The sequence below is a fragment of the Homo sapiens genome, chromosome 5 (genome assembly GCF_000001405.40).
Source record: "Homo sapiens chromosome 5, GRCh38.p14 Primary Assembly".
Taxonomy (NCBI): Eukaryota; Metazoa; Chordata; class Mammalia; order Primates; family Hominidae; genus Homo; species Homo sapiens.
The window spans coordinates 172,110,040-172,137,705 of record NC_000005.10 but is presented as its reverse complement, the minus strand read 5'-3'; the positions used below and the strand labels follow the sequence as shown (position 1 = coordinate 172,137,705).

The window sequence follows — 27,666 nt, the reverse complement described above, 5'->3', positions numbered from 1 at the left end:
GATTTCACTGTGTTAGCCAGGATGGTCTCGATCTCCTGACCTTGTGATCCGCCCGCCTCGGCCTCCCAAAGTGCTGAGATTACAGGCGTGAGCCACTGCGCCTGGCCCAATATATGGCATTTTAATATATGACCTTTATATATGTTGAGGTTGTTTTCTTCTATTTTGTTTGTTGAGTATTTCTCATGAAGTGGTGTTTAACTGTGCCAAATGCTTTTTCTGCTTTAACTGAGATGATCACGTAGTTTTTTTTTATCTCCTTTCATCGTGTTAATGTGGTATATTACATTGATAGATTTTTGAATGTTGAACCATCCTTACATTCCAGGAATAAATCCCACTTGATCATGGTGTAATCTCTCTTTTAATAGTTGAATATGATTCGCAAGTATTTTGTTGAGTATCTTTGCATCAGTATGTCAGAGGCATTCAAACCAGAGTGACTTTATCTTGAATAGGGGCTGGGTAAAATGAGGCTGAGACCTGCTGGGCCACATTCTCAAGAGGTTAGGTATTCTTAGCCCTAAGACGTTTATAGTTAAGGGAACAGAAACAGACCCAGGATATAACAGACCCAGGAACTGTCCTGATGTCCTTATATCTTAAGAACAAAAACATTCCTAGTTTTAAAATAAGTCTCACTTTAAAGATAATAATATATGCACAGTGAGAACACGTGGACACTGGGAGGGGAACATCACACACCGGGGCCTGTTCGGGGGTGGGGGGCTAGGGGAGGGATAGCATTAGGAGAAATATTTAATGTAGATGATGGGTTGATGGGTGCAGCAAACCATCATGGCATGTGTATACCTATGTAACTAACCTACATGTTCTGCACGTGTATCCCAGAACTTAAAGTATAAAAAAAAAAAATAGATAATAATAAAGGCTCTCATGAAAGACAGTAGTTACACAAAGATTAGCAATCCTTTATCACAAACCCTTGTAGTAGAGCACATCTCCTCCATGATTTTTGTTATATATAAGCAAGCATTGTACCTAGGTGGGCACATTCCTCCTCTTATTTTTTGGAATGCCATGCTCTGCCTATGGAATAGCTATTCTTTCACTTCTTTACTTTATTTATTTATTTATTTATTTATTTTGAGACGGAGTCTCGCTCTGTCGCCCAGGCTGGAGTGCAGTGGCGCGATCTTGGCTCACTGCAAGCTCTGCCTCCTGGGTTCACACCATTCTCCTGCCTCAGCCTCCCGAGTAGCTGGGACTACAGGTGCCTGCCACCACACCTGGCTAAGTTTTTGTATTTTTAATAGAGATGGGGTTTCACCATGTTGGGCAGGCTGGTCTCGAACTCCTGACCTCACGTGTCCACCCGCCTCGGCCTTCCAAAGTGCTGGGATGACAGGCGTGAGCCACTGCGCCCAGCCTGTGTGGAGGTTTTAAATTACTGTTCAGTCTCCTTAGAAGTTACATCTATTCAGGTCTTCTGTTTCTTCATGATCCAGGCTTGCCAGGTTGTGTTTCTAGGAATTTTTCTATTTCATCTAGTTTATTCAATTTGTTGTCATACAGTTGTTCATAGTACTCTCTGATAGTCCTTTCTGTCAAATCAGTAGTAATGTGTCCCCTTTTTCATTTCTGATTGTAGTAATTTGAGGTTTTTTTTTCTTTTTTTCTTTTTCTTTCTTTTGTTTGTTTGTTTATTTATTTATTTTGAGACAGAGTCTCACTCTGTTGCCTAGGCTGGAGTGCAGTGGTGTGATCTCGGCTCACTGCAACCTCCACCTCCTGGGTTCAAGCGATTCTCATACCTCAGCCACCCAAGTAGCTGGGATTACAGGCGTGTGCCACCAAGCCTGGCAAATTTTTGTATTTTTAGTAGAGACAGGGTTTCTCTATGTTGGCCAGGCTGGTCTTGAATGCCTGACCTCAGGTGATCCACCCCAAAGCACTGGGATTATAGGCGTGAGCCAACGTGCCTGGCCATAATTTGAGTTTTTAACTTAGTCTGTTTAGCTAATGAACATATTTTAAAAATTCTTTTGGATCTATATGTAGGAGGGAATTGCCATTTGGATCAATAGTAATGCTACGTTTAACATATTGAGGAACTGCCGGACTCTCCCAAAGTGCCTGGACTGCACATTTTACATTACCACCATCAGTGTATGAAGGTTCCAATTTCTCCATATTCCTGCCAACACTTACTGTTGTTTATCTTTTGTTTTTTGAGATGGAGTCTCGCTCTGTCTCCCAGGCTGGAGTGCAGTGACGTGATCTTGGCTCACTGCAACCTCCGCCTCCCAGGTTCAAATGATTCTTTTGTCTCAGCCTCCTAAGTAACTGGGACTACAGGCGTGTGCCACCACACCTGGCTAACTTTTGTATTTTTATTAGAGACAGGGTTTCACTATGTCGGCCAGGCTGTCTCAAACTCCTGACCTCAGGTGATCCACCCACCTCAGCCTCCCAAAGTGCTGGGATCACAGACGTGAGCCACCGTGCCCAGCCTTGTTCATGTTTTTAATTCTGAGCATTCTAGCATGTGTGAAGTGGTATCTCATTTTGGTTTTGATTAGTGTTGCCCTAATGACTAGTAATGTTGAGCATCTTTTCATATGCTTAGTGGCCATTTGTACATCTTCTTTGGAAAAACATCTATTCAAATCTTTTGCCTATTTTAAGATTGGGTTATTTGCTCTTTTATTTTTGAGTGCTATGAGTTCTTTATGTATTCTGGATACTAGTCCTTTATCAGATATATGATTTGCAAATATTTTCCATTTGTGGGTTACTTTTTCTTTTTCTTTTTTTTTTTGAGATAAAGTCTTGTTCTTTCTCCCAGGCTGGCGTGCAGTGTCACAATTATTGCACGCTGCATTCTCGACCTCCCAAGCTCAAATGATCCTTCCACCTCAGCCCCCCAAGTATCTGGGACCACAGGTGTGTGCCACCATACCCCGCTAATGAAAATTTTTTTCCTTTTTTTTTTTTTTGTAAATATGAGGTCTCCCTATGTTGCCCAGGCTGGTCTCAAACTCCTGGGCTCAAGTGATCCTCCCATCTCAGCCTCCCAGAATGCTGAGATTACAGGCGTGAGCCATTGTACCCAGCCTTTACTTTCTTGATACTGTCCTTTGATGCACAAATATGTTCAATGTTGATGAAGTCCAGGGTATCTATTTTTTCTTTGGTTGCTTGTGCTTTTGGTGTCATTTTTGTCCATCTGGTCTTTTACTAACCCCCATATACCCTTTGACACATATTTAGAGGTCCTCAAAATTTTTATTTAAAGATGGGAGGATATGGAAATATTTTTTTAAAAAACTCATTGAAACAGACTGCAGTACGGTCTTTAATAATGAAGATCCCCAAAGCTTCTGTGTGAATACTCAGGGCTTCTCAAACCATCTCTTGGTAAAGGCTGATGAGGATGATCATACATCCTACCAAAGCCCCTCACTCTTTGGTTTGAGGCAAGATAAAAAGGAACACTGGTGATGAAATTTAGGATAACAAGGAGCATAAAAGAGGCAGTACTTCTGCCAGTTTGCCCCCAAGTTTCTCTACCAACATCTTACAGTGCCTTTTGTTAAGGGGAGGACAGATGTGGTCCCAGGGTCCAGGCCTCTTGCTCTTATAAATTCCCATTGAGCAGTAGTTCTCAAAGTGTGACCAGGGGTCCAGCAACAGCAGCAGCATCTGAGCACTTGTTGGAAACCAGATTCTTGGACCTTGCTTCAGACCCACTGAATCAGAAGCTCTGGAGTGGGACCCAGTGATCTGTTTTAACAAGCACTCTGCTGAACGTTCAAGTTGGAGAGCCGTTGGTGTAGCATTTTCAGCTGGTACAACCTGGAGTCTGCCACCTGGAGAGTGTGGTTACTCATCATCTCCTGCCAAGCGTGGGATCAGGTACTTTTGGTAACAAGTGACAGCAAACCTTAAACTAACCTACTAAACAGCGCAGAAATTAATTCGTTTGCATATTCTGCCTAAAAAGTCAGTAGGGAGCAGGCTTGTTCTCCGTTTTCCTGTGATTCTCTCTGTCTTCCTCTGTGTATTAGCTTTGTCTTCACACCCACTTCTCTCGTGGTTGCAACATGGTTTCCTGCAACCATCAGAGTTGTGTGCTTCCTAATTAGCTCCAGAGTGAGACGACGTGGCATTCCACACCATCAAGCACAACTCACCAGCTTAGCTCTGATGACACCAGCCCTGAGTCAGGGCACGAGGCAGAAAATTTTCCTGACTGGCTTAGCACCCTGCTTCTACCCCTCCCTTGCAGGGGATGAGTAAGTCCTACCCAGTTCTCATGGCTATTTCACAAAGGGGAAGGAAGACATGGTGTATGTGGAGGGGGAGGTAGCCATGGTGCCCAGGACATCAGGACTCATGAAATGGCCTCTTCGCTGTTTGTCCCCAACCCACTGTTTTTTCCTTAATAATGCATCTAGAGGGATCTTTCCAAAGCAAAAGCCTGTCTACAACACCTCTTGCTTAAACCCTTTGGTGTATCTCCCCAGACACACACGCACACACGCACACACAGCTCTCCAGATTAGGTTCATACTTTGAGATGTTCAAGTTCTAGTTCTAATTGACCTCCAGCCTGCTGGATTCCCATCCTTTGGAACCCCATGGAATGCTCCGCCATTACCCGCTTCCACGCTTTTCCCTGCTGCCCCACCTCTGCTTCTGTGTTCTGCCAGGAGTGCCTTTACCCTTCCCCACGTGGTAAATTCACCCTTCAAAACTCAGCCTGGATATCTGCTTCCTCTGGGATAGCTCTAAGGCAGGTTAATGACCGTGTCCACAGGCTTCTGGGTTACATAGTCACCGTGTGCCTGCACCACTCATTTCTATATCTCCCTCAGCTGGTGATTTTGGGGCAGGGACCTGTTTGATTCTCCCTGGGTCCTCAGTCCCCAGGCTTGCCACGCACTAGGAGCTCAGATAGTGTTTGTTGATCACATACTACTTTTGTGTCCCCTACTGTTGCCTAGCAAAGTAGGGCCCCTGGTAGACACTCAGTTTATAATGATCAATGCATTAAACTGACCACAAATCTCAGTTCTTCAGGTCCTAGGAAAACCGTGAGCCACCTGCAAATATAGGCTGCTTATGCCCTTGACAGGTTCAGGGAATCCGTCCTTTTAGCACTGGGGCGGTTTCACTTTGGACTTGATCAGGGCTTAGAGGCCTTTAGCTTTCCGATCCTGAGGAGCCTCCCTTTATCCAGGAAGCAGGGGACTGGACCACTGGGACCTTCATCACGGGTGGGCACGGATTCCCCATCCCAATCAGAAGAATAGCTGTATCTGTAGCAGTAGGTTATTCTAGGCCAGTTCTTTCCATTAAAAAAAAACTAAAGCCCCTAGGTTGAATTAAAAAAATTAAAAAAATTAAAAATTTAAAAGTCATGTTTATTTCTAATATACAATTTGATAATACATATTTATTGAATATAATACATAAAAGTACAAACTACCTGTAATCCTCCTATGGGTTTTGTGCTTCCAGTCTTTTTTCTAAGCATGCATATGTAGTAATTTCCTAAAGCATTGAGATTATTATTTTATTCATATTTATTACCATCGTCTCAGTGCATTTTATGCTGCTATAACAGAATACCTGACACTGGGTAATTTGTAAACAATAGAAATTTATCTAGCTCATGGCTCTGGAGGCTGGGAAGTCCAAGGTTGAGGGCCCTGCATCTGGCGAGGGCCTTCTTGCCATCGTGGAAGGTGGAAAGAGCAAGAGGGCATGCAGGAGAGAGCCAGCAACTGAACTCACAGCCTCTAGCCCTTTTATAATCAGCACTAATTCATTCATGAGGGTGGAGCCCTCATGGTCTAAACACCTCCCATTACTGTTGGTCCCACCTCCCAACACTGTTACATTGGGGATTAAGTTTCCAACACATGCCTTTTGGGAGATACATTCAACTATTATTTTATCTGTTACTGTTGAGACTATTGTTTTATTAATTAAACCCCATGTATTTCTGCAAAAAGCCCTGACAAGTTTATAATACCAATCCCCTGTAGCCCTCCTGCCACTGATAAGCTGAAGGTAAAAATGTTAAGACCCAGATACTAAAAAAAGCAAGTAAGGCCTGGGAGTCAAACCAAAGCTGAGGAACTTAACCCAGAGCTTCCCAGCAGCCAAGGCAAAAAAATAAATAAATAAAAGGGAAGCTCAAGGGGTTGTGGAGCTCTTGAACTAAAGAAGAGGAAGCAAGCCAGGTTGTCAGAATGCACGAGCTTTCCTGGTGCTGACCTCTGGAGAGGGCACAGGGACGTTGTATAAGAGTGTTGTGTAAGGGACAGTTTCACTGAAAGATGCAGGAACTGCCTGGGTTTGGTCACTTCTCATACTGACTCTTAAGAATAGCTGATGACAGGCCAGGCGCGGGGGCTCACGCCTGTAATCCCAGCACTTTGGGAGGCTGAGGCAGGCAGATCGCGAGGTCAGGAGATCGAGACCATCCTGGCTAACACGGTGAAACCCTGCCTCTACCAAAAAATACAAAAAATTAGCCGGATGTGGTGGCGGGCGCCTGTAGTCCCAGCTACTCGGGAGGCTGAGGCAGGAGAATGGCGTGAACCTGGGAGGCGGAGCTTGCAGTGAGCCAAGATCGCGCCACTGCACTCCAGCCTGGGCAACAGAGTGAGACTCTGTCAAAAAAAAAAAAAAAAAAAAACAGCTGATGGCATGTCCATAACTTTTAGTTCTCAAAAATAAATAAATACATAAAGAAATTGTAGTTCTGGGAAGACATTTCTTTGTTTTGTTTTGTTTTCCCTAGGAATCAGACTGAGAGGAAGGCATATTTTTGTAGGAATCCTAAGTGACGTGATCTAAGCATGAAACTTACTGGTGATTTCATTTGGTAGAGATTTAACAAACACATATTAACTGTGTGGCTTTTGTGCTGTTCTTTCATGTAAGGAATCTCATTTAACTTTCTCAATGAAGTTGGAGGCAAGAGATGATTAGGCCATTTTACAGATGGGGAAATGGAGGCTCAGGGAGATTGACTTATCCAGGGTCATGTAGTCAATTAAGTGGCACACCAGGACTCGACCCCAGGTTTACAATCTTTTCCTCTGTGTTGGCACCTTGTTGGAGAAGCGGGAAGTGTCTGACCTTGTTACATATCCACGGTGTATTAGGACTGGGTTTTTCGGTTTTTTTTTTTTTTGGAGACAGAGTCTTGCTCTGTCACCCAGACTGGAATGCTGTGGTGTGATCTCCGCTCACTGCAGCCTCCGCCTCCTGGGTTCAAGTGATTCTCCTGCCTCCGCCTCCCAAGTAGCTGGGATTACAGGTGCCCGCCACCACACCTGGCTACTTTTTGTATTTTTAGTGGAGACGGGGTTTTGCCATTTTGGCCAGGCTGGTCTCGAACTCCTGACCTCAGGTGATCTGCCTGCCTCATCTTCCCAATATGCTGGGATTACAAGAGTGAGTCACTGCCCCCAGCCTAGGACTAGGTCTTTATAAGTACCACCTCATCTGTTCCTTACAGTAAATCCTAGAGCCACGTAATATTAGCCCATTTTACGGAGAGGATTGGCGGTTGTCCAAGGCCATACAGATGGTAGGTGTTAGGGAGGCTAACCAGGGGTTCCCAGCCAGGGTTTGGTGATGGAACTTCAGGATGTGGAAGGATTCAATAGAATGGCACAGGAACATTTCTGGGTGAGAGGGGAGAGGATGGCTTTCACAGAGCCTCAAAAAACCCAAACAAAAATAAATGAGAAAAACAGACCCATGAACTCAAGGAAAGAATCATAGTGACAGCTCACATAACTGAGTCCCGACCTGGGGCCAGGCACGTGTCAAGGCCTGGATGAGCTTATCATTCCCATGAGGGTTAGGGTGTATCATCCCCATCTCACAGGTCGCCCAGCTAGTAAGTGGCCTTGCATGGTCACTGAGTTTTGCTTCTTTTCCATCATCACCTCTTGTGGCTTGTTTTTTTTCTAGCAGTTAGTAGAATTTTTCTTCCTCTTTCGTGGAGCTGAGAATTACTACAAGGCAGAATGATATGCTGTGCTTCAAAAGGTCATTGCCTGTTTCCAAGTCACCTCTGTCTGTTCCCTTGCCACTGGGAACAAGCTGGTTAGGTGGTGGTTGGGTAAGAGGGAACAAATGAATGGACGAATGAATGAATGAACAAGTGGATGGAGGAAGTACCTCTTCCTTGGCGTTCGGGATCAGCATGCATGGATCCATTTCTGATGACTTTTATTCAAGGGTGACAGGTCACTGTAGTGTTAGAGAGAAGTCTTGGGGAAGCTGAGGTCAGGCCCGTTGTTGATGACCAGGCAGGACCAGAGTGACCCAGAAGGCCTCCTTCCTCCTCAGCAGGGAGTGGTGTGGAAGTGGGCCGTGCCGCCTTCCACAGCTCTCTGCCGTGGCACACAGCCCTCCAAGGCAAGTGGCAAGCCTGGCAGGGCCTGGAATGGTTGCTACCCCTGGAACCTAGTATCTCTAGTATCCCTGGCCCACGTTAAAGTCCCCTGTTTTATCTGCTGTGGTTTCGTGCATCCCAGCCCGGCTTATACCCCTAGTGTAGCCCAGCCATGGGGTCCCAGTTCAGAGCAACAGCATCAGCAGCCCCATTTTACAGCTGAGGACACAGTCTCAGAGGACGGAAGTGACCTGTCCAAGGCCACACTAGTGAGCGGTGGACCTGGGCCATGAGCCCAGCCGTGACTGGCTCCAAAGCCACGCATCACCACATCCTCATAGGACCCACATGACCTCAGGGTCATATTTACATTGCCAGGAGGCTCCTGGAAGGTAAGCCACAAACTGGAGGCTTCATCAAATTCCTGAGGCTGCTCCACCCTCCTCTGGCTGGAGAGCTGTCTCTGGTCCAGCTAGACCATGGTTGAGAGTTTCTTTCCTGTTTAGAGACAGCGTGGGTCTTCTTGACTGCCCCACTCTCCAGGGCCTCTGCTGAGCTGGGTTGAAGGAACTTCACAACAAGCAGGGGCCAGGAGCTGGAAGCTAAGAGGTGATTCTGCCTGTCCTGAAGTTTGTGACGCCATCCCTCTTCCTCAACCACCTGTAGCCCTACTTTAAGAAAAAAGAGGTCAGGCAGGGTGGCTCACGCCTGTAATCCCAGCACTTTGGGAGGCCAGGGCGGGTGGATCACCTGAGGTCAGATGTTTGAGACCAGCCTGGCCAACATGGTGAAACCCCATCTCTACTAAAAACACAAACATTAGCCAGGTGTGGTGGCAGGTGCCTTTAATCCCAGCTACTCAGGAGGCTGAGGCAGGAGAATCACTTGAACCCCAGAGATGGAGCCAAGATTGTGCCATTGCACGCTAGCCTGGGTGACAAGAGCGAGAGTCTGTCTAAAAAAAAAAAAAAAAAGGAAAGAAGAAAGAAAAGAAAAAGCATCTATGCAAAGAGCCCGGAGTGGGCCAGAAAGAGTGAGAATGGGAGTGAACCAGGGCTGGAAGAACCTTTCTTTTTTTTTTTTTTTTTTTTTTTTGAGACGGAGTCTCCCTCTATTGCTCTATTGCCCAGGCTGGAGTGCAGCGGGTGGATCACGAGGTCAGGAAGGACCTTTCTACTGTAATCGTCCTTTCTGCCCCTCCACTAGGCTGGGAGCCCCTTGAGGGCCTAGACCTGGTTGTTCTCCCGGGGCCTGCAGCCTGTCAGTGTGGAGTAGGTGTATGATGAATGAATGAATGACCTGAGGGTTTGGAGCTCTGCTTCCAGTCCAGGAACAATCTCTGTGGCCTTGGTCAGTTACATCCCCTTTTTTGGCCTCAGTTTCTCCATCTGAGCTGATCTTCAAGGCCCTGATGTTCTGAGCCAGCAAGGTCCAGGGTTCTGGAAGATGGAGAGAGCCTGAGACAGGTGCTGGGATTCTGAGAGGACTTGGCCAGCTTGGCCGGGGGAAGGCATCCTGAGGTTCTTGGCTGTGGAGCATAGGAAACAGGGCAGCTGGCAGGTGGGCACCAGGCGCATAGGCGGGAGCGAGGAGGGAGGGTGTGGGCTTGGCTGAAGAGGCTGTTTGCTGAAGCTTCAGGTCTTCGTAGCAACTTAGTTTTCCTTCTTCAGAAAATGAAGCAGCCAAGAAGCTCCTCTGGGTGTCAGAGCCTCCAGTGAGGTTTGAGGCCCACTGGGGGAGGGGGACGGGCTCCCAAGGCAGGAGGAGGAAGGGCTGGAGAGCAGGGGCACCCAGGCATTGGGCATGGGTGGACCCTGCCCAATGGGCCTGTGGGGTTCCCGTCTCGACGGCTGGGCAGCCCCACTCATTGTCACTTTGCCCTGTGTTTTCTGCAGATCATGATTGAGTTCTGTCCAGGGGGAGCCGTGGACGCCATCATGCTGGGTGAGTCTTACTTGATTCGGTGCATTGTCGGGACCAGACGACTCGTTTGGAGTCCTAAGCCTGACTGCTGGACAGCTCTGTCTAGGACTGGGACCTCCACTCTCCCATTCCATCAGTTCCCATGGCCTCTTTGAGCACCTCTCTACTATGTCTGCTTTTGGGAGCAGGGTGTGGGTTCTTTTTTTCTTTCTTTCTCTTTTTGAGACAGAGTCTTGCTCTGTTGCCCAGGCTGGAATGCAGTGGTGCGATCTCAGCTCACTCACTGCAGCCTCCGCCTCCCGGGTTCAAATGACTCTCCTGCCTCAGCCTCCTGAGTAGCCTGGGATTACAGGTCCGTGCCACCACGCACGGCTTGTTTTTGTATTTTTAGTAGAGATGGAGGGGTTGGGTTCTTGAAGAGAACGCAGGACATTCGCTGGAAGACCATCACTCCCTGTTCCAGAAGCCGTGTGTCCTTGAACTGGCCACTCTCCCTCTTGAGGCCTCTTGATCTAAGATGGGTATGATGCCTTCTTTGCGGGACCCCACACACTCTCAGGAGGTAAAACCGAGATACCCGAGGAAGGTCTTTGAAAAGTGGGGATACCCACACATTCAGTAAATGCTCTGTGGGGACAGTGTCAGGTCTCAATGTCCTGGGCAAGCTTGAGCAATAATGACGACGATGATCACAGTGAAATGTTAGTAGTGGCCATTCCTTTGTGAATAGTCACTATATGCCAGAGAGTGTGGTAACCACGTTCCCATATGCGGTCCTCCTCTAATCCTCAGGTATAAAATCAGGAAGAGTATTTTATTTATTTATTTTTGAGATGGAGTCTCACTCTGTTGCCCAGGCTGGAGTGCAGTGGCGCAATCTCAGCTTACTGTAACCTCCACCTCCCGGGTTCAGGTGATTCTTCTGCCCCAGCCTCCCGAGTAGCTGGGACTACAGGTGCCCACGACCATGCCCGGCTAATTTTTGTATGTTAGTAGTGATGGGGTTTCACCATGTTGGCCAGGCTGGTCTCGAACTCCTGACCTTGGGTGATCCACCTGCCTCTGCCTCCCAAAGCGCTGGGATTACAGGCAAATATCACTTTTATTTTTGATTGGGCTGACACTTGAAAGGTTAAGGGACTCACCCAGATCACACAGGAGAGCTGTGAACCCAGGTCTGGGTGACCCGCTCCTAACCATGGACCATGGCCCATCCTGCAGCATCCCCGGCTCATGCTACCCTTCAGGGCAGTGAGTGCAGAGAGGCTGAGGAGAGGCCTGGAAGGTTGAGTGACATGTCCAGGATTCTGGGATGGCCCAGAAGAGGAGAGGCACTTAGGATAATGTCACACCATTCAAGGTATTTTCCCTGAGTTTACCTCAGGAGGGAGCCAACTGTAGTCCTGACATAGCCTTGAATGCCATAAACCTGAATGTTGAAATCCAAAAAGAGCAAAATGCCTAAAGTCTCAAATCCTGTCAAGTACAATCCCGAAAGATCAAAATCCCAAAAATATAATGCTAAAATTTTTTTTAAAATTCTTGATATTTACTTATATTTTAAAGGGGAATTTGAGAAATATAAAAACTTCAAGGCGCTTCATAGGCCACTTTACACAATCAAATAGGCAGTAGTAACATACATACTTTGCAAGCATAAACAGCTATACCAAAGATGGTGGTACAGCTGTAACAATTATGAGCAGATTGGCTGGGTGTGGTGGCTCACGCCTGTAGTCCCAGCACTTTGGGAGGCCGAGGTGGGCGGATCACCTGAGGCCACGAGTTTGAAACCAGCCTGGCCAACATGGCAAAAACCCATCTCTACAAAATATATGAAAATTAGCTGGGCGTGATGGCAGGCGCCTGTAATCCCAGCTACTTGGGAGGCTGAGGCAGGAGAATCACTTGAACCCAGGCGGTAGAGGTTGCAGTGAGCCAAGGTGATGCCACTGCACTCCAGCCTGGGCGACAGAGTGAGACTCCATCTCAAAAAAAAAAAAATGAAAAAAAGTCATGAGCAGATGACTTGTACCCATAAAGAGGTAGGTCAAAAAGGGAGATGTATAAGTGCATATCACCAGGATTGGTGATTGTGTACACACAGCTTTATAGCTGTTGTCTGAAATACTGTAATGAACAACCAAAGCCTGTTGACGAGATTGATCAAAACCCTCAGTGGGTCACTAGGGCATATGCAGATGCCGAAAGAGCCAGGATCTGGAGAAAGTTTATCTTCCACAAATGCGGATGTACCAAAAGGACATCCCTATGTTTACTGAGGAACTTTCAGCATTTTTCCATACATGCACAATGCTTACACACCAGCAATGCTGAGATAATACACTTTCAGGGAGTCAAATTTGCAACAAACGCATAAAAGGAATTAGAACTCTCTCAAAGTCTCTATACCATTTATACCTCCAGTATTGAAAATGATGTGAAGATGAAATACATAGCATAGTGAATTGCAAAAAGTAATGCTATTTAAAATAGTGGGGGAAAAAAATATATATATACTAAAGACCATTTAGTTTTTTCAAATTTAACATATGACCAAGTGTATTACAGGGAGAGATTACGGGCAGTTGCACAGAGACCGTTCATAAGAGTTGACCTCACAGGATACAACTATCCTGTGATTGAGATTTTTAGGATTTTAGACTTTAGGGATTTTGATCTTTGGGGATTTCAATATTTGGGATTATGGTATTTGAGATGGTCTCTTTTAGGATTATGATCCAAACCCATCTCAGGAATGTGTGAAATTTACAGTAGTCCATCCCCATCCCGGGCTGTAGAAATGTAGGACCCACAAGCCTTCGTTACAGAGCCACTTACTGCCCCATGGAGTTCCCAGGTAGATGACAGTAGCAGGGAGGATACATGGCACATGTTATATGGCTCTTGGGTGTGCCTTCTCTCAGCAGGCACTGCCTTTGAAGATTATCATTTGGGGGGATAGAATCTAACAGTATAAAAGTGATAGTCTGGTATGAATTGAGACTTTAGGTTATGAGGAGCCAGAATACTCAAACTTTTTTAGGTGGGGGAAAGGTCTGGGATGTGGGAGGTGGAATTTATTTGCACAAATAACTGAAGACTTCAGGGATGGCTAGCTTCAGGCACAGCTTGTTCCAGGAGTTTTAAAGAGTTATGATAAGAGATGGAGTGCAGCGGCTCAAGCCTGTAATCCCAGCCCTTTGGGAGGCCGAGGCAGGTGGATCACTTTGAGCTCAGGAGTTTGAGACCAGCCTGGGCAACAGGGCAAAACCCCGTCTCTACAAAAAGTACAAAAGTTAGCTGGGCGTTAGTGGTTTGCACCTGTAATCCCAGCTACTTGGGAGGCTGAGGCTGGAGGATTGCTTGAGCCCAGGAAGAAGAGGTTGCATTGAGCTAAGATCATGCCAGTGCACTCAGCCCAGGTGACAGAGTGAGACCCTGTCTCAAAAAAATAAAATAATAAAGAGTTGTGATATGGACTTGATTTCTTTCTCCAACTCTTGGCCCCACTGTCCTCTGTGTTAGCCCCATTCTCATGCTGGTTTTCTGCATGCATCTTGACAACAAGATGGTGTGGGAGCTCCAGCCATCACATCTGAATTCCAAGCAGCAGGGTAGACAACAGGGTAGAATAACCACCCATCCCACACTGAAGACTCTTTTAAAGAGACTTCAGAAAAGCTCCACATGGCACCTTGATTTATGTCTCATTGGCTGTAGCATATCACACACAGCTGGAATGGAGGCTGGGGAATGTGGTTTTCTAGCTGGGTAGCCATATGTGCTGATACTAAAAAAAGAAGGGGAAAATGGAAGCCAGCTAGCACCCCCTCTGTGTCCCCTGGTATGCAGCTTAACTGAATGAGCTTAGCTGGAGGGGAGCATCAGAGATGGAAAGGCATGGAAGTGTACTGTGTCCTCGACCTCATTCACAGCTAGGGCGTGCCCTAGGCTACAGCTCAGCCAGCAGACAAACCCTTCTCTGGCTCCCGTCCCAGTTCTCCTCGTGGTCCTGACTGCTCCAGCCCTAGGCAGTTTTCCCCCTGTTGGTGGCAGCAGTGAAAGGAGCATTTTGGGAATGATGATGTGCAAAGAGAAGCTGAAATGGGGACAGCTGACAAGTTCAGAGCCAGGTCCTCGTTGCAGCTCTCTGTTTAGTGTTGACCTTCCTGCAGATGCCTGCCCTGCTTAGAGGGGTTTCTGCCCCTCCATCCATCTCCACTTTGCCCCGCATGGCTGGGAAGCATTACTGGCCTGAGCTTGGGGCCCAGGGGTCCATTCCCTGAGGTCCATTCCAGGTTTCTCTTTTTGGAGGCTTTGGGGCACAGGACTGGCCCTTTTGTGAGATGGAGAGAATACCCACGTGGTATGTCACTGTGGGGCCATTCTATGTAACATCCAGGGCCTGTTCTGATTGGAATAGATATGGTTGGCCATGCCTTGCTGGCTATTAAACATCTTGGGTCTTGGCCGGGCGCGGTGGCTCACGCCTGTAATCCCAGCACTTTGGGAGGCCGAGGCGGGTGGATCATGAGGTCAGGAGATCGAGACCATCCTGGCTAACATGGTGAAACCTCGTCTCTACTGAAAATACAAAAAATTAGCCGAGCATGGTGGCGGGCGCCTGTAGTCCCAGCTACTTGGGAGGCTGAGGCAGGAGAATGGCGTGAACCTGGGAGGCGGAGCTTGCAGTGAGCCTAGATCGTGCCACTGCACTCCAGCCTGGGCGACAGAGCGAGACTCCATCTCAAAACAAAACAAAACAAATAAACAAACATCTTGGGTCTCCACCCTCTTATCGTGGAAAGGATGAGAGGCTAGAATTAGATGTGGTGTCAACGGGGACTTTGCAATGTTGTAGTTTTTTTAATAAGGAGAAGGTATTCATGCATTGCTGTGTAATTGAAAACTATTTCTAAAAATGTATTGGACTCAAAAGGCTGCATATTGTATGATTCCAATTATATGACACTTTAGAAAAAGGCAAGACTATAGGCACAGAAAACAAATTAGTGATTACACAGGGACTGGAAACGGGAAGAGTTTACTGCAAAGGTCACAGGGGAATCTTGGAGGATGGTGGATGGATTTTGTATCTAAATTGTGATGGGGGTTCCATGACTGAATATGTTTATCAAAATTTATAAAACTGTATACCTTAAAAAAGTGAATTTTTTATATATGTAAATTATACCTCAATAATCCTGACTTTAAAAAGTGTATCAGGCCGGGCATGGTTGGTCACACCTGTGATCCCAGCACTTAGGAAGGCTGCGGCGGGTGGATCACAAGGTCAGGAGTTGAAGACCAGCCTGGCCAAGATGGTGAAAGCCCATCTCTACTAAAAATACAAAAATTAGCCAGGTACAGTGGCAGGTGCCCATAATCCCAGCCACTCGGGAGGCTGAGAGGCAGGAGAATCGCTTGAACCCAGGTGGCAGAGGTTGCAGTGAGCCAAGATCACGCCACTGCATTCCAGCCTGGGTGACAGAGACGTCGTCTAAAAAAAAAAAAAAAAGTATATTAGCTAGGCATAGTGGCCCATGCCTGTAATCCCAACACTTTGGGAAACCAAGGTAGGAGATTGCTTGCAGCTAGGAGTCCAAGATTACCAGCTTGGACAACGTAGTAAGACTCTGTCTCCAAAAAACAAAAAATTATTTATTTATTTATTTATTTAGAGACAGAGTTTTGCTCTTGTTCCCCAGGCTGGAGTGCAACCACACCCGGCTAATTTTGTATTTTTAGTAGAGACGGGGTTTCTCCATGTTGATCAGGCTGGTCTTGAACTCCTAACCTCAGGTGATCTGCCCACCTCCACCTCCCGAAGTGCTGGGATTACAGGCGTGAGCCACCGCGCCCTGCCAAAAATTTTTTTTATAAACTAGCTGAGTGTGGTGGCACACACCGGTGGTTCCAGCTACTCAGGAGGCTGAGGTGGGAAGATTGCATGAGCCTGGGAGATCGAGGCTGCAGTGGGCCGTGATCCACTGCCCTCCAGCCTGAGCAACAGAGTGGGACCCTGTCTAAAACAAACAAACAAAAACAAACAAAAAATTAGGCTGGGCGCAGTGGCTCATGCATATAATCCCAGCACTTTGGGAGGCCGAGGCGGGTGGATCACCTGAGGTCAGGAGTTCAAGATCAGCTTGGCCAACATGGTGAAACCCCGTCTCTACTAATAGTACAAAAAAATTAGCCGGGCGTCGTGGCACATGCCTGTCATCCCAGCTACTCGGGAGGCTGAGGCAGGAGAATTGCTTGAACCTAGGAGGTGGAGGTTGCAGTGAGCCGAGACCACACCATTGCACTCCAGCCTGGGCAAGAGAGCAAGACTCCATCTCAAAAAAAAAAAAAAGGAAAGAAACCCAACAACAACAACAAAAAACAAAATTAAAGAGTATCTCCTTCCCACCTCACTGGGTTACTGCGAGGATTAAATGACAGTATGCACCGTGTCCTTATCCTCATGCCTGACACATTATAAGGGCTCCAAAAATGGTGGTGATTAGATCATAATTATCTTCATCATCATCATTAGTATTTTTGTCATTCCTATTTCATTTATATCAGTAAATTAGACATGAGCAAGACACATTTTTGCCATTAAAAAGATTGCGGCACATATTCCAGCCCTGGACTCATCTTAGAACCAACATAGCAATAATCCCCCTTTATTGCCTATTTTCCACACTGAGAACTGAACATGGCTGATGGCTGGAGCCCTGCCTATGTCGATTATAATCATCCCATTTCACAGACCAGGAAATGAAGGGCCAGAGAGCTTGGGCGACTTGCCAGTAACCACACAGCTAGTGAGAGGCAGCACCTGGGTACGGCCTCGGTCTGTGTGGTCCTGAAGCCCATGCAGGCTCTGATCCTGGCCCCTGGCTGGAGACACAGAGGTTCAGGATGAGGCCACAGGGACAGGGGGCAGGCAGCTTGCGGACTCCAGAGAGAAGGGTCCCTGGTCCAGGAGCCCTGGTCTGGGGCCTGGCTTCCCAGAGCAGGGCAGTTGGTACCTGCATTCCTGGTTGGCATGTCTATTATACCACTCCTGAGGGCCTGGCTGGGAGAGCTGAGCCTTGTGGATTCCTGTCCAGGCACCACTAGGCAAGCCGGACACAGCAGTGCTGTTGTAGGCAGAGGGAAGACTCGGAGCAGTGCCCTTTGGTGACCAGGCTTAGAAGCCGACAGCCTGGGAACCTGGCAGGCCAAGGGAGGTGGCTCCCCTGGTCACAGGGGTCTTGGGTAGCTACGTTGACTCAATCAGGACAGTCCTGTGGGACGCAGAGCACAAGGCTGTCACCTTGGAATCTTCTCACTCCCCTCCTCCCACCGCCTCCACATTCCGCCAGCTCCACCTCCCTAATCTGTCCATTGAGCAGCTTTCCTCCTCTCTGCTTTGGTGCCTATCTGGACCACTGTGATGACCTCCAGCTGAGCCCCTGCCCCTGCTGCCCAGCAAGCTCTTTGCTGTGCTAGAGGGAATTATTTGTTTATTTATTATTTATTTATTTATTTTTTGAGATGGAGTCTCGCTCTGTCGCCCAGGCTGGAGTGCAGTGGCGTGATCTCCGCTCACTGCAAGCTCTGCCTCCCGGGTTCACGCCATTCTCCTGCCTCAGCCTCCCGAGTAGCTGGGACTACAGGCGCCCGCCACTACGCCCGGCTAATTTTTTGTATTTTTAGTAGAGACGGGGTTTCACCGTTTTAGCCAGGATGGTCTCGATCTCCTGACCTCGTGATCCTCCCACCTCGGCCTCCCAAAATGCTGGGATTACAGGCGTGAGCCACCGCGCCTGGCCTATTTTGTTTATAATATAATAAATGCTACAAGCATAGCTGGGTCTCGCTATGTGGCCCAGGCTGGCCTTGAACTCCTGGCCTCAAGTGATTCTCCAACCTTTGCATCCTAAGTAGCTGGCACTACAGGCATTGAGCCACTGCTCTCAGCCATGGGAATTTTTTTTTAATGCAAAAATCAGACTGTGTCTGGCCCACTCAGAACTTCTCGTGGACTACCCACTGCATTTCAAATACAATGCAGCCTCCACAGCATGGCCCGAAGGTCCTGCAGAGCCAAGGCCTGCTGACCTCTGACCTCGAGTCACTTTCCCTTCATTTGCCCCCTCCCACCACACAAGTCTGTTCCCCTTTCCAGGAATATTCTTCCTGCTGCCCACCTTCCCGCTCCCTGCCTGCTCAGACCTACTCAACCTGTGAACCTCAGGGAAGAAGGGCCCTGGCCATCTCTCGGTGGACACTGAGTGATCTGCAGCGTGCGCACGTGGGCGCTGTGTCTCCCCATAAAGAACAAAAGGCTCTTGGCAACCAGCCCTCCGGCCTCTCTGGCCCTTCCGCATCCGCATACCCTGGTGCCACCACCAACAGCCAGTGGAAAGTTTAATAGGCAAAAAAGAAGAGAGAGAGAAAAAGCTTCCTCATGCTGAGAAAATGGGTCACCGAAGAGAGGGTCTCCTCAGTGGACACTTTTTTTTTTTTTTTTTTTGAGACTGAGTCTCGCTCTGTCACCCAGGCTGGAGTGCAGTGGCGCGATCTCGGCTCACTGCAACCTCTGCCTCCTGGGGTCAAGCGATTCTCCTGCCTCAGCCTCCTGAGTAGCTGTGATCACATGCGTGCACCACCACGCCCAGCTAGTTTTTGTATTTTTAGTAGAGACAAGGTTTCATCATGTTGGCCAGGATGGTCTTGAACTCCTGACCTCGTGATCCCCCCCGCCTCTGCTTCCCAAAGTGCTGGGATTACAGGCATGAGCCACTGCGTCTGGCCCCAGTGGACATTTTGGAGACACCAGCTCATGTCAGCTGTTGCCTCTGCTGGCTCCTTGACCTAGAGTGCCCTCGCCCCACCTATTCTCTTCCTTTAAGACATAGCCCAAATGTCATTTCCTCTGGGCAGCCTTCCAGTTCCCCCAGCTATAAGGGGTTCCTGCCCATTCTGACATCCCACATGCCTGCACCTCACTCTGTTCCAAGTGTCACTCACCGTTTCCATGTCCCATCTGCCTTCCTGCTCCAAGCACAGAGCCAGACACATAGTAAGTGCCCTCTCAGTGTCTGCAGACACAACAGATCTCTCTGTCTCAGTCGGGCTTATGTTTACAAACCTGAACTCTAAAGCCAGACCCTGGTTTGAATCTCAGATCTGTGTCTTCCCACCTGCATGACCTTGAGCGAGTGGCTTAACCTTTCCAAGCCTCAATTTCCTCATCTGTAAAATGGGGACAATAATTGTGCCTGCTTCATAGGACTGTTATGAAGACAAAATGGGTCAGTGCACATGATGTGCTTAGAAATGAATCCAGTACACGGTGAGCACTCCTTAATATTGGTGGCTTTTTTTTTTTTTTTTTTTTTGAGATGGAGTATCACTGTCGCACAGGCTGGAGTGCAGTGGTACGATCTCAGCTCACTGCAACCTCTGCTGCCCAGGTTCAAGCAATTCTCCTGCCTCAACCTCCTGAGTAGCTGGGATTACAGCTGCCTGCCACCGTGCCCAGCTAATTTTTGTATTTTTAGTAGAGGTGGGATTTCAACATCTTGGCTAGGCTGGCCTTGAACCCCTGACCTCGTAATCCACCTGCCTCGGCCTCTCAAAGTGCTGGGATTACAGGCGTGAGCCACCACGCCTGGCCTAATGTTGGTGGCTTTTATATTTCTCCCTGGCGTGGGCCTGACATTTCAGTTTCCTGTGTCCAGGGCTTACTGAATTGACAGCCGTTCTCCTCCATTTCCAGAGCTGGACAGAGGCCTCACGGAGCCCCAGATACAGGTGGTTTGCCGCCAGATGCTAGAAGCCCTCAACTTCCTGCACAGCAAGAGGATCATCCACCGAGATCTGAAAGCTGGCAACGTGCTGATGACCCTCGAGGGAGACATCAGGCTGGGTAAGGGGCTCAGGGTGGGAAAGGTGGAGCCACAGGGTGTCTGCCTGGGGGTGTTGGCCTGGCCTCTGCAGGCCAGTGGGAGTGTGGACCTCATGGGGGTGTGGGGTCCTCACGCCTACGCCCTCTTGGCATGTCAGCAGTTCTCCCCTTCCTACTCTTGATTCTTTGCTTTTTTTCAATTATTTTATTTTATTTTATTTTTTTGAGGCAGTCTTGCTCTGTCACCCAGGCTGGAGTGCAGTGGTGCGTTCTTGGCTCACTGCAACCTCCACCTCCCAGGTTCAAGTGCTTCTTGTGTTTCAGCCTCCCAAGTAGCTGGGATCACAGGCACCTGCCACCATGCCTGGCTACTTTTTGTACTTTTAGTAGAGATGAGGTTTCACCATGTTGGCCAAGCTGGTCTCGAACTCCTCATCTCAAGTGATCTGCCCGCCTTGGCCTCCCAAAATGCTGGGATTACAGGTGTGCACCACTGTGCCTGGCCAGCTTCTTTCTAATCAAGAGAATTCGAATGAGAGTGATGGATGGAGGGATGACCCAGCTCCATCCCCAGAGGGAAAACAGTAGGACATTAAGCACATATATCAAAACCTTCTTTTTTTGTTGTTGTTTTTGGACAGAGTCTCACTCTGTTATCCAGGCTGGAGTGCAGTGGCGAAATCTCGGCTCACTGCAACCTCCACCTCCTCAGTTCAAGTGATTCTCCTGCCTCAGCCTCCTGAGTTGCTGGGACTATAGGCACCCACCACCACACCTGGCTAATTTTTGTATTTTTAGTAGAGACCGGGTTTCACCATGTTGGCCAGGCTGGTCTCGAGTTCCTGACCACAAGTGAACCACCCGCCTCGGCCTCCCAAAGTGCTGGGATTACAGGTGTGAACCACCCCGCCCGGCTCAAAACCTTCTTCTTTAAATGTCTCCTCTTTGTATTTTTAATGTTTTTATTTTTTTAACCAAAATAACACATACATGTGTCATCCCCTCACGTGTCTCCTTTTGCCATCCACCTGCAGAGACAAGCGCTTTGAGCTCTTCTCATGTGTACTTCTGCATCGCCAAATGATATGGCTACAATGCATTTTTTAAAGTAATGATTTTCGGCCAGGCATGGTGGCTCACGCCTGTAATCCCAGCACTTTGGGAGGCCGAGGTGGGTGGATCACCTGAGGTCAGGAGTTCAGGACCAGCCTGGCCAACATGGCGAAACCCCAATCTCTACTAAAAATACAAAAATTAGCCGGGCGTGGTGGCACACGCCTGTATTCCCAGCTACTCAGGAGGCTGAGACAGGAGAATCGCTTGAACCCAGGAGGCAGAGTTTGCAGTGAGCTGAGATTGCACCACTGCACTCCGGTCTGGGCAACAGAGTAAGACCCTGTTTCACGAAAACAAAAACAAAAACAAAAACAAAAAAACAAACAACACATAGTTGGTGCTCAATAAACAGTCACTTCCAGCATGACCACCACTTTAGCCTATGGTTAGTTACTTCAGCATCCCCAACTCCCAACCCCCATGCCCCGCCCAATGTGCTGGAGACTTGGCAGGTGGACCAGTCAGGAAGCCAACTGCCCATCTCTCACTGCTGCCTTCACCCAGCCCAGCATTGCTATTTCCTGCTACCAGCAGGCTGGGGGCCTGGTTCTTTCACTAGAGCTACCATGCACTGAGCCAGCATCTGATATGTGTTAACTCATTCCATTCTCAAAAGCCACTGATATCATCTTGCAGGATGGATTTGGGACCTAGCAAGACTGACTTATCCAAGGTCACATTGCCGATAAGAGGAACAACTGGGGTTCAAACCAAGGCAGCTGGGTCCAGAGCCTACGTGCTTAACCACTACCCTCTTGTCGCCTCTCTTAGTGGCAAATGATAAAAACCCACTTCCTAAGAGTTAAGGCAGACAGGAAAATGTGTACATCATGGAGCCAAATTGGAGAAGAAATACAGCTGGGTGGGCCTTAAAGTTAGTTGAAACCTGGAACATAAACGCTGCCAGGACCGTATCCCTGGCCCTTAACGCTGCCAGGACCGTATCCCTGGCCCTTGGCTTTCTGTGCATGTAGGTTCGGCTCCCAGACCAACCCTCTCCACCAAGCTCAGGATACCATCTAGTTTCACATTTCCCGGCATCATCTGCTGCTGCCTGAACCCGAACTCACCATTGGAGGCTTTGGCATCAATAATCCCAGGGGAGGGCTCTGACTGGCCCCGTTTGGCCCAGATAGTAATCCTTGGACCAATCAGTGAGGCCCAGGCAGGAGGGGGTCTCCCACAGGCCCGGCTTGTCTTCAGTCTCTGGCACGGAGGGTGGGGTCACGTGACAACACGGAAGTAGCCCTCGCCCCCGCAATGAGGCAGTGTGGTGGGTGGGGAGATGGTTTTTCAGAGGAAGGGAGGATTCGGACTGGCCAGAAAAAAAAATTGCGGTCTACCTACCCTGCCCAGCCTGTGAGAATCGCACAGGCCCAGCAGAGGGGAAGTAAGTGAGGCAGAAGCTTGAGGGATGGGAAGCAACAAGAAAGGGCTGGGTTGGCGGTGAGTGCGTGGAGGGTGTCAGGAAGACAGTGCAGTGTGTTGCGAGGAGGAGAGTCAGTGAAGGCCGAAGGTGGGGGGTCAAACCGGAAGACGAAGCCCTTATCAAATGGGCACGCGTCTCTAGGTTCCTAAAAAACGGAAGAAAATAAAAATAACCGGCCGGGTGCGGTGGCTCACGCCTGTAATCCCAGCACTTTGGGAGGCCGAGGCGGGCGGATCACGAGGTCAGGAGATCAAGACCATCCTGGCTAACACGGTGAAATCCCATCTCTACTAAAAATACAAAAAAATTAGCCAGGCATGGTGGCGGGCGCCTGTAGTCCCAGCTACTCGGGAGGCTGAGGTAGGAGAATGGCGTGAACCCGGGAGGCGGAGCTTGCAGTGAGCCGAGATTGCGCCACTGCACTCCAGCCTGGGCGACAGAGTGAGACTCCGTCTCAAAAAAAAAAAAAAAAAAAAAAAAAAATATATATATATATATATATATATAATTTTAATATACATAAATTTGGAGCTATACACAGCAAACCCGTAAATGTTTAGTTGTCAGTATTATAGTTTTTAATCTGAAAAATAATGAGTTTTTAATAAGCAACATGACTTTGGTAATCAGAAAACACACATACACACACACACACACACACACACACGAGAGTAGCTAGAGTCCTGTACACAATTTGGAATAAGACCCACAAAAAGGAGAATTAAGGTCCTTCCTAATCCTGCCAGAATAAACCACCACTCTCCGTGGGCTTCCCTCCAAGTCTTTTTTTGTCTGCAGAAAAGTCGGATCAGATAGTGGGAAAGAGCACAGCTGGGTGACCTTCTGTGCATTACTTAGTCTTTCTTAAGTTAAGCTTCCTTATCTGTAAAATGGGAGTCATAATTTTCCCTGCCTTAAAGGGTCATAGATATAAACGATGTGTGTAGGAATAGATATGCAGATGATATGCATAAGTTTCTTTGCACAGTGCTATGCATATGGTAAGTTCTCAGTAAATATTAGTTTTTCTTTTTTTTTTTTTTGAGATGGAGTTTTGCTTTTGTTGCCCAGGCTGGAGTGCAATGGCACGATCTTAGCTCTCCACAACCGCTGCCTCCTGGGTTCAAGCGATTCTCTTGCATCAGCCTCCTGAGCAGCTGGGATTACAGGCATGTGCCACCACGCCTGGCTAATTTCGTATTTTTAGTAGAGAGGGGATTTTTCCATGTTGGTTTTTGTCTCGAACTCCTGACCTCAGGTGATCTGCCTGCCTCAGCCTCCCAAAGTGCTGGGATTACAGGCATGAGCCACCGTGTCCGGTGACAATATTAGTTTTTATAAGATAAACTAGGATTATTATATATATATACAGTTTCCTAGTCTGGTTTTTAACATTGAATATCAGCGTATTCCTCCATATCCTTAAAGATTCCTCAGAAACATGATTATTTTCGTGTTTTTCTTGTACCCATCACAGGCACAAAATGTAATTTACCTATCAGAGCCCTGAGGAAAGCCCTGAATTGGATACTTGGGTTTCTCATGAGGTTTATCATCTTTACGAAATCATGCAGTGATGAGTGTGCTTGTTCATGGATCTTTGCGTCTCTTTCTGTAACATACCTTGAAGAGGAATTCTCAGAAGCAGAGTGCTGGGTGTGTGCAGTGAGTTGGGGTTTTGTTCATCCTGCAGCCGGCATGCCCTCCGTGCTGGTCATACCAGTTGACACCCCCCCCAGTGCAGTGTGCAATTCTCTTTTCACCACATCCTGGCCCCTACTGGGTTTTACTTAATAGAGAAAAAACAAAAAAACCCACAAAACCAAAAAACTTTGCTACATATGCATTTCAGTTTTTTAAACCATAGAAACAATACACTCTATCAAAAACATTTTAAAGAACAAAAGTGGGTCGGGCGCGTTGGCTCATGCCTGTAATCCTAGCACTTTGGGAGGCCGAGGCAGGTGGATCACCTGAGGTCGGGATTTTGAGACCAGCCTGACCAACATGATGAAACCCCCCGTCTCTACTAAAAATACAAAATTAGCCGGGCGTGGTGGCGCATGCCTGTAATCCCAGCTGCTTGGGAGGCTGAGGCAGGAGAATTGCTTGAACCCGGAAGGTGGAGGTTGCAGTGAGCCGAGATCGTGCCATTGCACTCCAGCCTGGGCAACAAGAATGAAACTCCATCTGAAAAAAAAAGAATAAAAGTGTGTAAAGTGAAAAATGTAGGGTCCTGGCCGGGTGCAGTGGCTCACACCTGTAATCCCAGCACTTTGGGAGGCCGAGGTGGGCGGATCATGAGGTCAGGAGATCGAGACCATCCTGGCTAACATGGTGAAACCCCGTCTCTACTAAAAAAAAAAAAATTAGCCGGGCATGGTGGCAGGTGCCTGTAGTGCCAGCTACTTGGGAGGCTGAGGCAGGAGAATGGCGTGAACCCAGGAGGTGGAGCTTGCAGTGAGCGAAGATCACACCACTGCACTCCAGCCTGGGTGACATGCGAGACTCTGTCTCAAAAAAAAAAAAAAAAAAAAAAAGTAAGGTCCCTTCTGTGCACTGCCCCCACCAAAATCCCACTTCCAGGGAGATGAACATTAAGTTTGATGTGCAGACTTCCAGACCGGTGTGTGTGTGTGTGTATGCACATGCGTGCAGACATGTACACACAAGATGCATATATTATTCCTTTAAAGATAATCTTCTACTGGAGTACCTGCACTTGGATCATTTCTGGAATCATGCTACACATTTTATAAGACTCATCAGTCAGTCAGCAACATGTTTGGGACATGTATTAATGTATTAGAGATACACTTCCAAGTTAGTCCATACAAATACAGCCTCATTCTTTTTAAGAGCTGCATGTTATTTCATAGCTGGGGTGAACCACAACTTATCTAACCATTCAGCAATGAAGCTCCAGCAACACTTTGGATGATTTCCAATTTTCCATTCTTTTTGGCTGTTGCTTTTATAAGCATCCATATATATTATAGATCTGGTTTTAGAGATGGATTTCTACAAATAGAATTGCTGGCAAACAAGTTTTTAAAACCCAGTTTTATTTTTTACATATATGAGTAAAGGCATTTTAGCAAATTCTGTCTCTTTATTTATTTATGAGCATGCTCATTCGATAAACCTGTTGAGTGCTTCCTGCTCCAGATAACGTGCCAGGGATACAACTGTGGCCACAGCAGAAATGATCTCTTTCTTTATGGAAATTACAGCGGAGAAAGGGAGATTTCCCTTATCTCCGCCGCCCTTGTCTCTAATACATTTTAAAATGGGAGGAGAAGGGGGAGTGTTTTCATCAGAAGAGACTGCATGGTGAAAATCCCTTTTGAATTGCTCAAGGGCAGCCATCAGCTATCAAGGGACACTCCCTTATAAACTCTGCGGAGGGAGCAAACAGGCTCAGTTCTCTGGGCTGCAAGGTGGGGCTGCCCCACTCTCCCATCTGGGCCCCATCGTGTGGGGCAGAAGGGGAAGTAGCAGCTACCCAAAGAGCTGGCTGGTGCGTGCCTGAGGGAGGCCCTGGGGACCTACGGTGTGTCATTGCACGTTGGTGGTTTCTGTTTCTCGTCTCTCTTCTCAGGAAGGGATCGGCAGGGCCTGTGGTCGGGGAGTGGCCACCTTTTGGGATCCTCACCCTGGGCCTGAGAGGCAGTCACTGTTCCCAAAAGGTTTCCTGGGATGGGATGATGTGCCAGCCCTTAGTGGTGTTTGCGAGGGAGCCAGGCCCACAGGGGGGCCTGGCTGACCCAGCAGGAAGGTGGGGCCAGCTTCCCATTCTTACCCTGGAGGCCCAGGGGAGCCGCCTGCCAGAGTCATCAGCAGAGCCAGGCTCTACCTGGGTTTCCTGCTTCTGCACCTCACTTGCAGCACCTGTTGGTCCCACTTCAGGAGGCTGAGGGCCCCCTGTCCCCTCTTGCTGGCCAGACTGTCCCCTGATATAGCAACTGCTGTCCAGTTAGCACTAACCGGGGCTCAGAAGCCAGCTTTCCTGACCACTCCCAGGAGGTGCCGGGGGGTCTTAGTTCAGCCTCAGCCTTGCCCCAGCCTGAAAAAGGCTGGACTGGCTCATGGGCCGGTGAAAGAATCACCATCTTCTCGCTTTTGCCACGAGTGGACCTTGCATCACAGTGCTTTGCGTTTGTCATTTAATCCTCAGGAAAACCTGCGCAATGGTTCTGTGCTATCACCCCCGTGTCACAGATGGGGAAACTGAGGCTCAGAGGCTTTGTAACTGCCCTGCCCGTCTCCTGCCTTATCTGCTTCCACCCCCGGCCCCCTCCTTCCGGCCAGGCTGTGTCCTGTCCCCGCTGGTCCCTCCAGCCTGCTGTTTCCTGCCTCCCAGTCTGTTTGCAGTTTTCTCTGCCTGGAAATACCTCCCCCAGATCCTGAGTTTGTGTCTAAAGTAGCTCCCCACCCTGCACCCCAGCACTGTGTTCTTCTCCCTGCCTTCTCAGCCCTGGGCCCTTCTCGCTGCCAGGCATTCCGGGGGTTTTGCCAGGTGCCTGTCGCCACCACGGGAATAACATGTGGCATGTCAGGCAGGACTTGGTTGCTTTCATCTCTGTGCCTAGAACAGTGTCGGGCACATAATAGATGTGCAGTTAGTGTATGCTGAATAAAACTGTCCTTCCTCCAAAGCCCCCAGCCCTCCCTCCATGACCGTCCCCTCGAGGTCACACCCCCTACTGTGCACTCTTGAGTAGCCCCGGTCCTGTCTTCCCAACACTTTCCATGTTAGGAGTAGATGTTTGTTTATTTGCTTACTCTCTGCTCCCCCAACTAAACTGTGGATTCCCCGAGGGTCCTCATTGTATTCTCTGATCCCGGCTAGTGTCTCGCTCCTGATGGAGCCTGGTGAGCACCTGAATGAATGGGTGAGTGGACAGTGAAGCAGAA

At 48.3% G+C, this 27,666-nt stretch overlaps 1 protein-coding gene across 4 annotated transcripts in view, besides 4 other annotated features; it reads left to right on the top strand.

Moving 5' to 3' along the window:
• Window positions 1-27,666, top strand: part of STK10 (serine/threonine kinase 10) — a 146,146-nt gene that overhangs the window by 50,519 nt on the left and 67,961 nt on the right. For 3 of the 4 annotated variants that reach the window (XM_047417629.1, XM_047417628.1, NM_005990.4), the window contains exons 3-4: window positions 10,285-10,333; window positions 20,076-20,225. In XM_047417629.1, coding sequence (XP_047273585.1) covers window positions 10,285-10,333; window positions 20,076-20,225 — 199 coding nt within the window. Of the gene's footprint in view, window positions 1-10,284; window positions 10,334-20,075; window positions 20,226-22,550; window positions 22,711-27,666 lie in introns of those variants that run through there. The other variant, XM_047417627.1, reaches the window with a different exon arrangement.
• Window positions 22,109-22,609: an enhancer, noted in NCBI's record as "H3K4me1 hESC enhancer chr5:171542101-171542601 (GRCh37/hg19 assembly coordinates)". NCBI's record gives its function as "activates a minimal SCP1, AML or CMV promoter by ChIP-STARR-seq in primed H9 embryonic stem cells {active_cell/tissue: H9 hESC(primed)}" and the evidence as "EXISTENCE:reporter gene assay evidence [ECO:0000049][PMID:30033119]".
• Window positions 22,109-22,847: a biological region, named in NCBI's record as "H3K4me1 hESC enhancer GRCh37_chr5:171542101-171542601".
• Window positions 22,538-22,847: an enhancer, noted in NCBI's record as "active region_23622". NCBI's record gives its function as "activates an Ori minimal core promoter by ATAC-STARR-seq in GM12878 lymphoblastoid cells {active_cell/tissue: GM12878}" and the evidence as "EXISTENCE:reporter gene assay evidence [ECO:0000049][PMID:35858748]".
• Window positions 26,149-26,618: an enhancer, noted in NCBI's record as "active region_23621". NCBI's record gives its function as "activates an Ori minimal core promoter by ATAC-STARR-seq in GM12878 lymphoblastoid cells {active_cell/tissue: GM12878}" and the evidence as "EXISTENCE:reporter gene assay evidence [ECO:0000049][PMID:35858748]".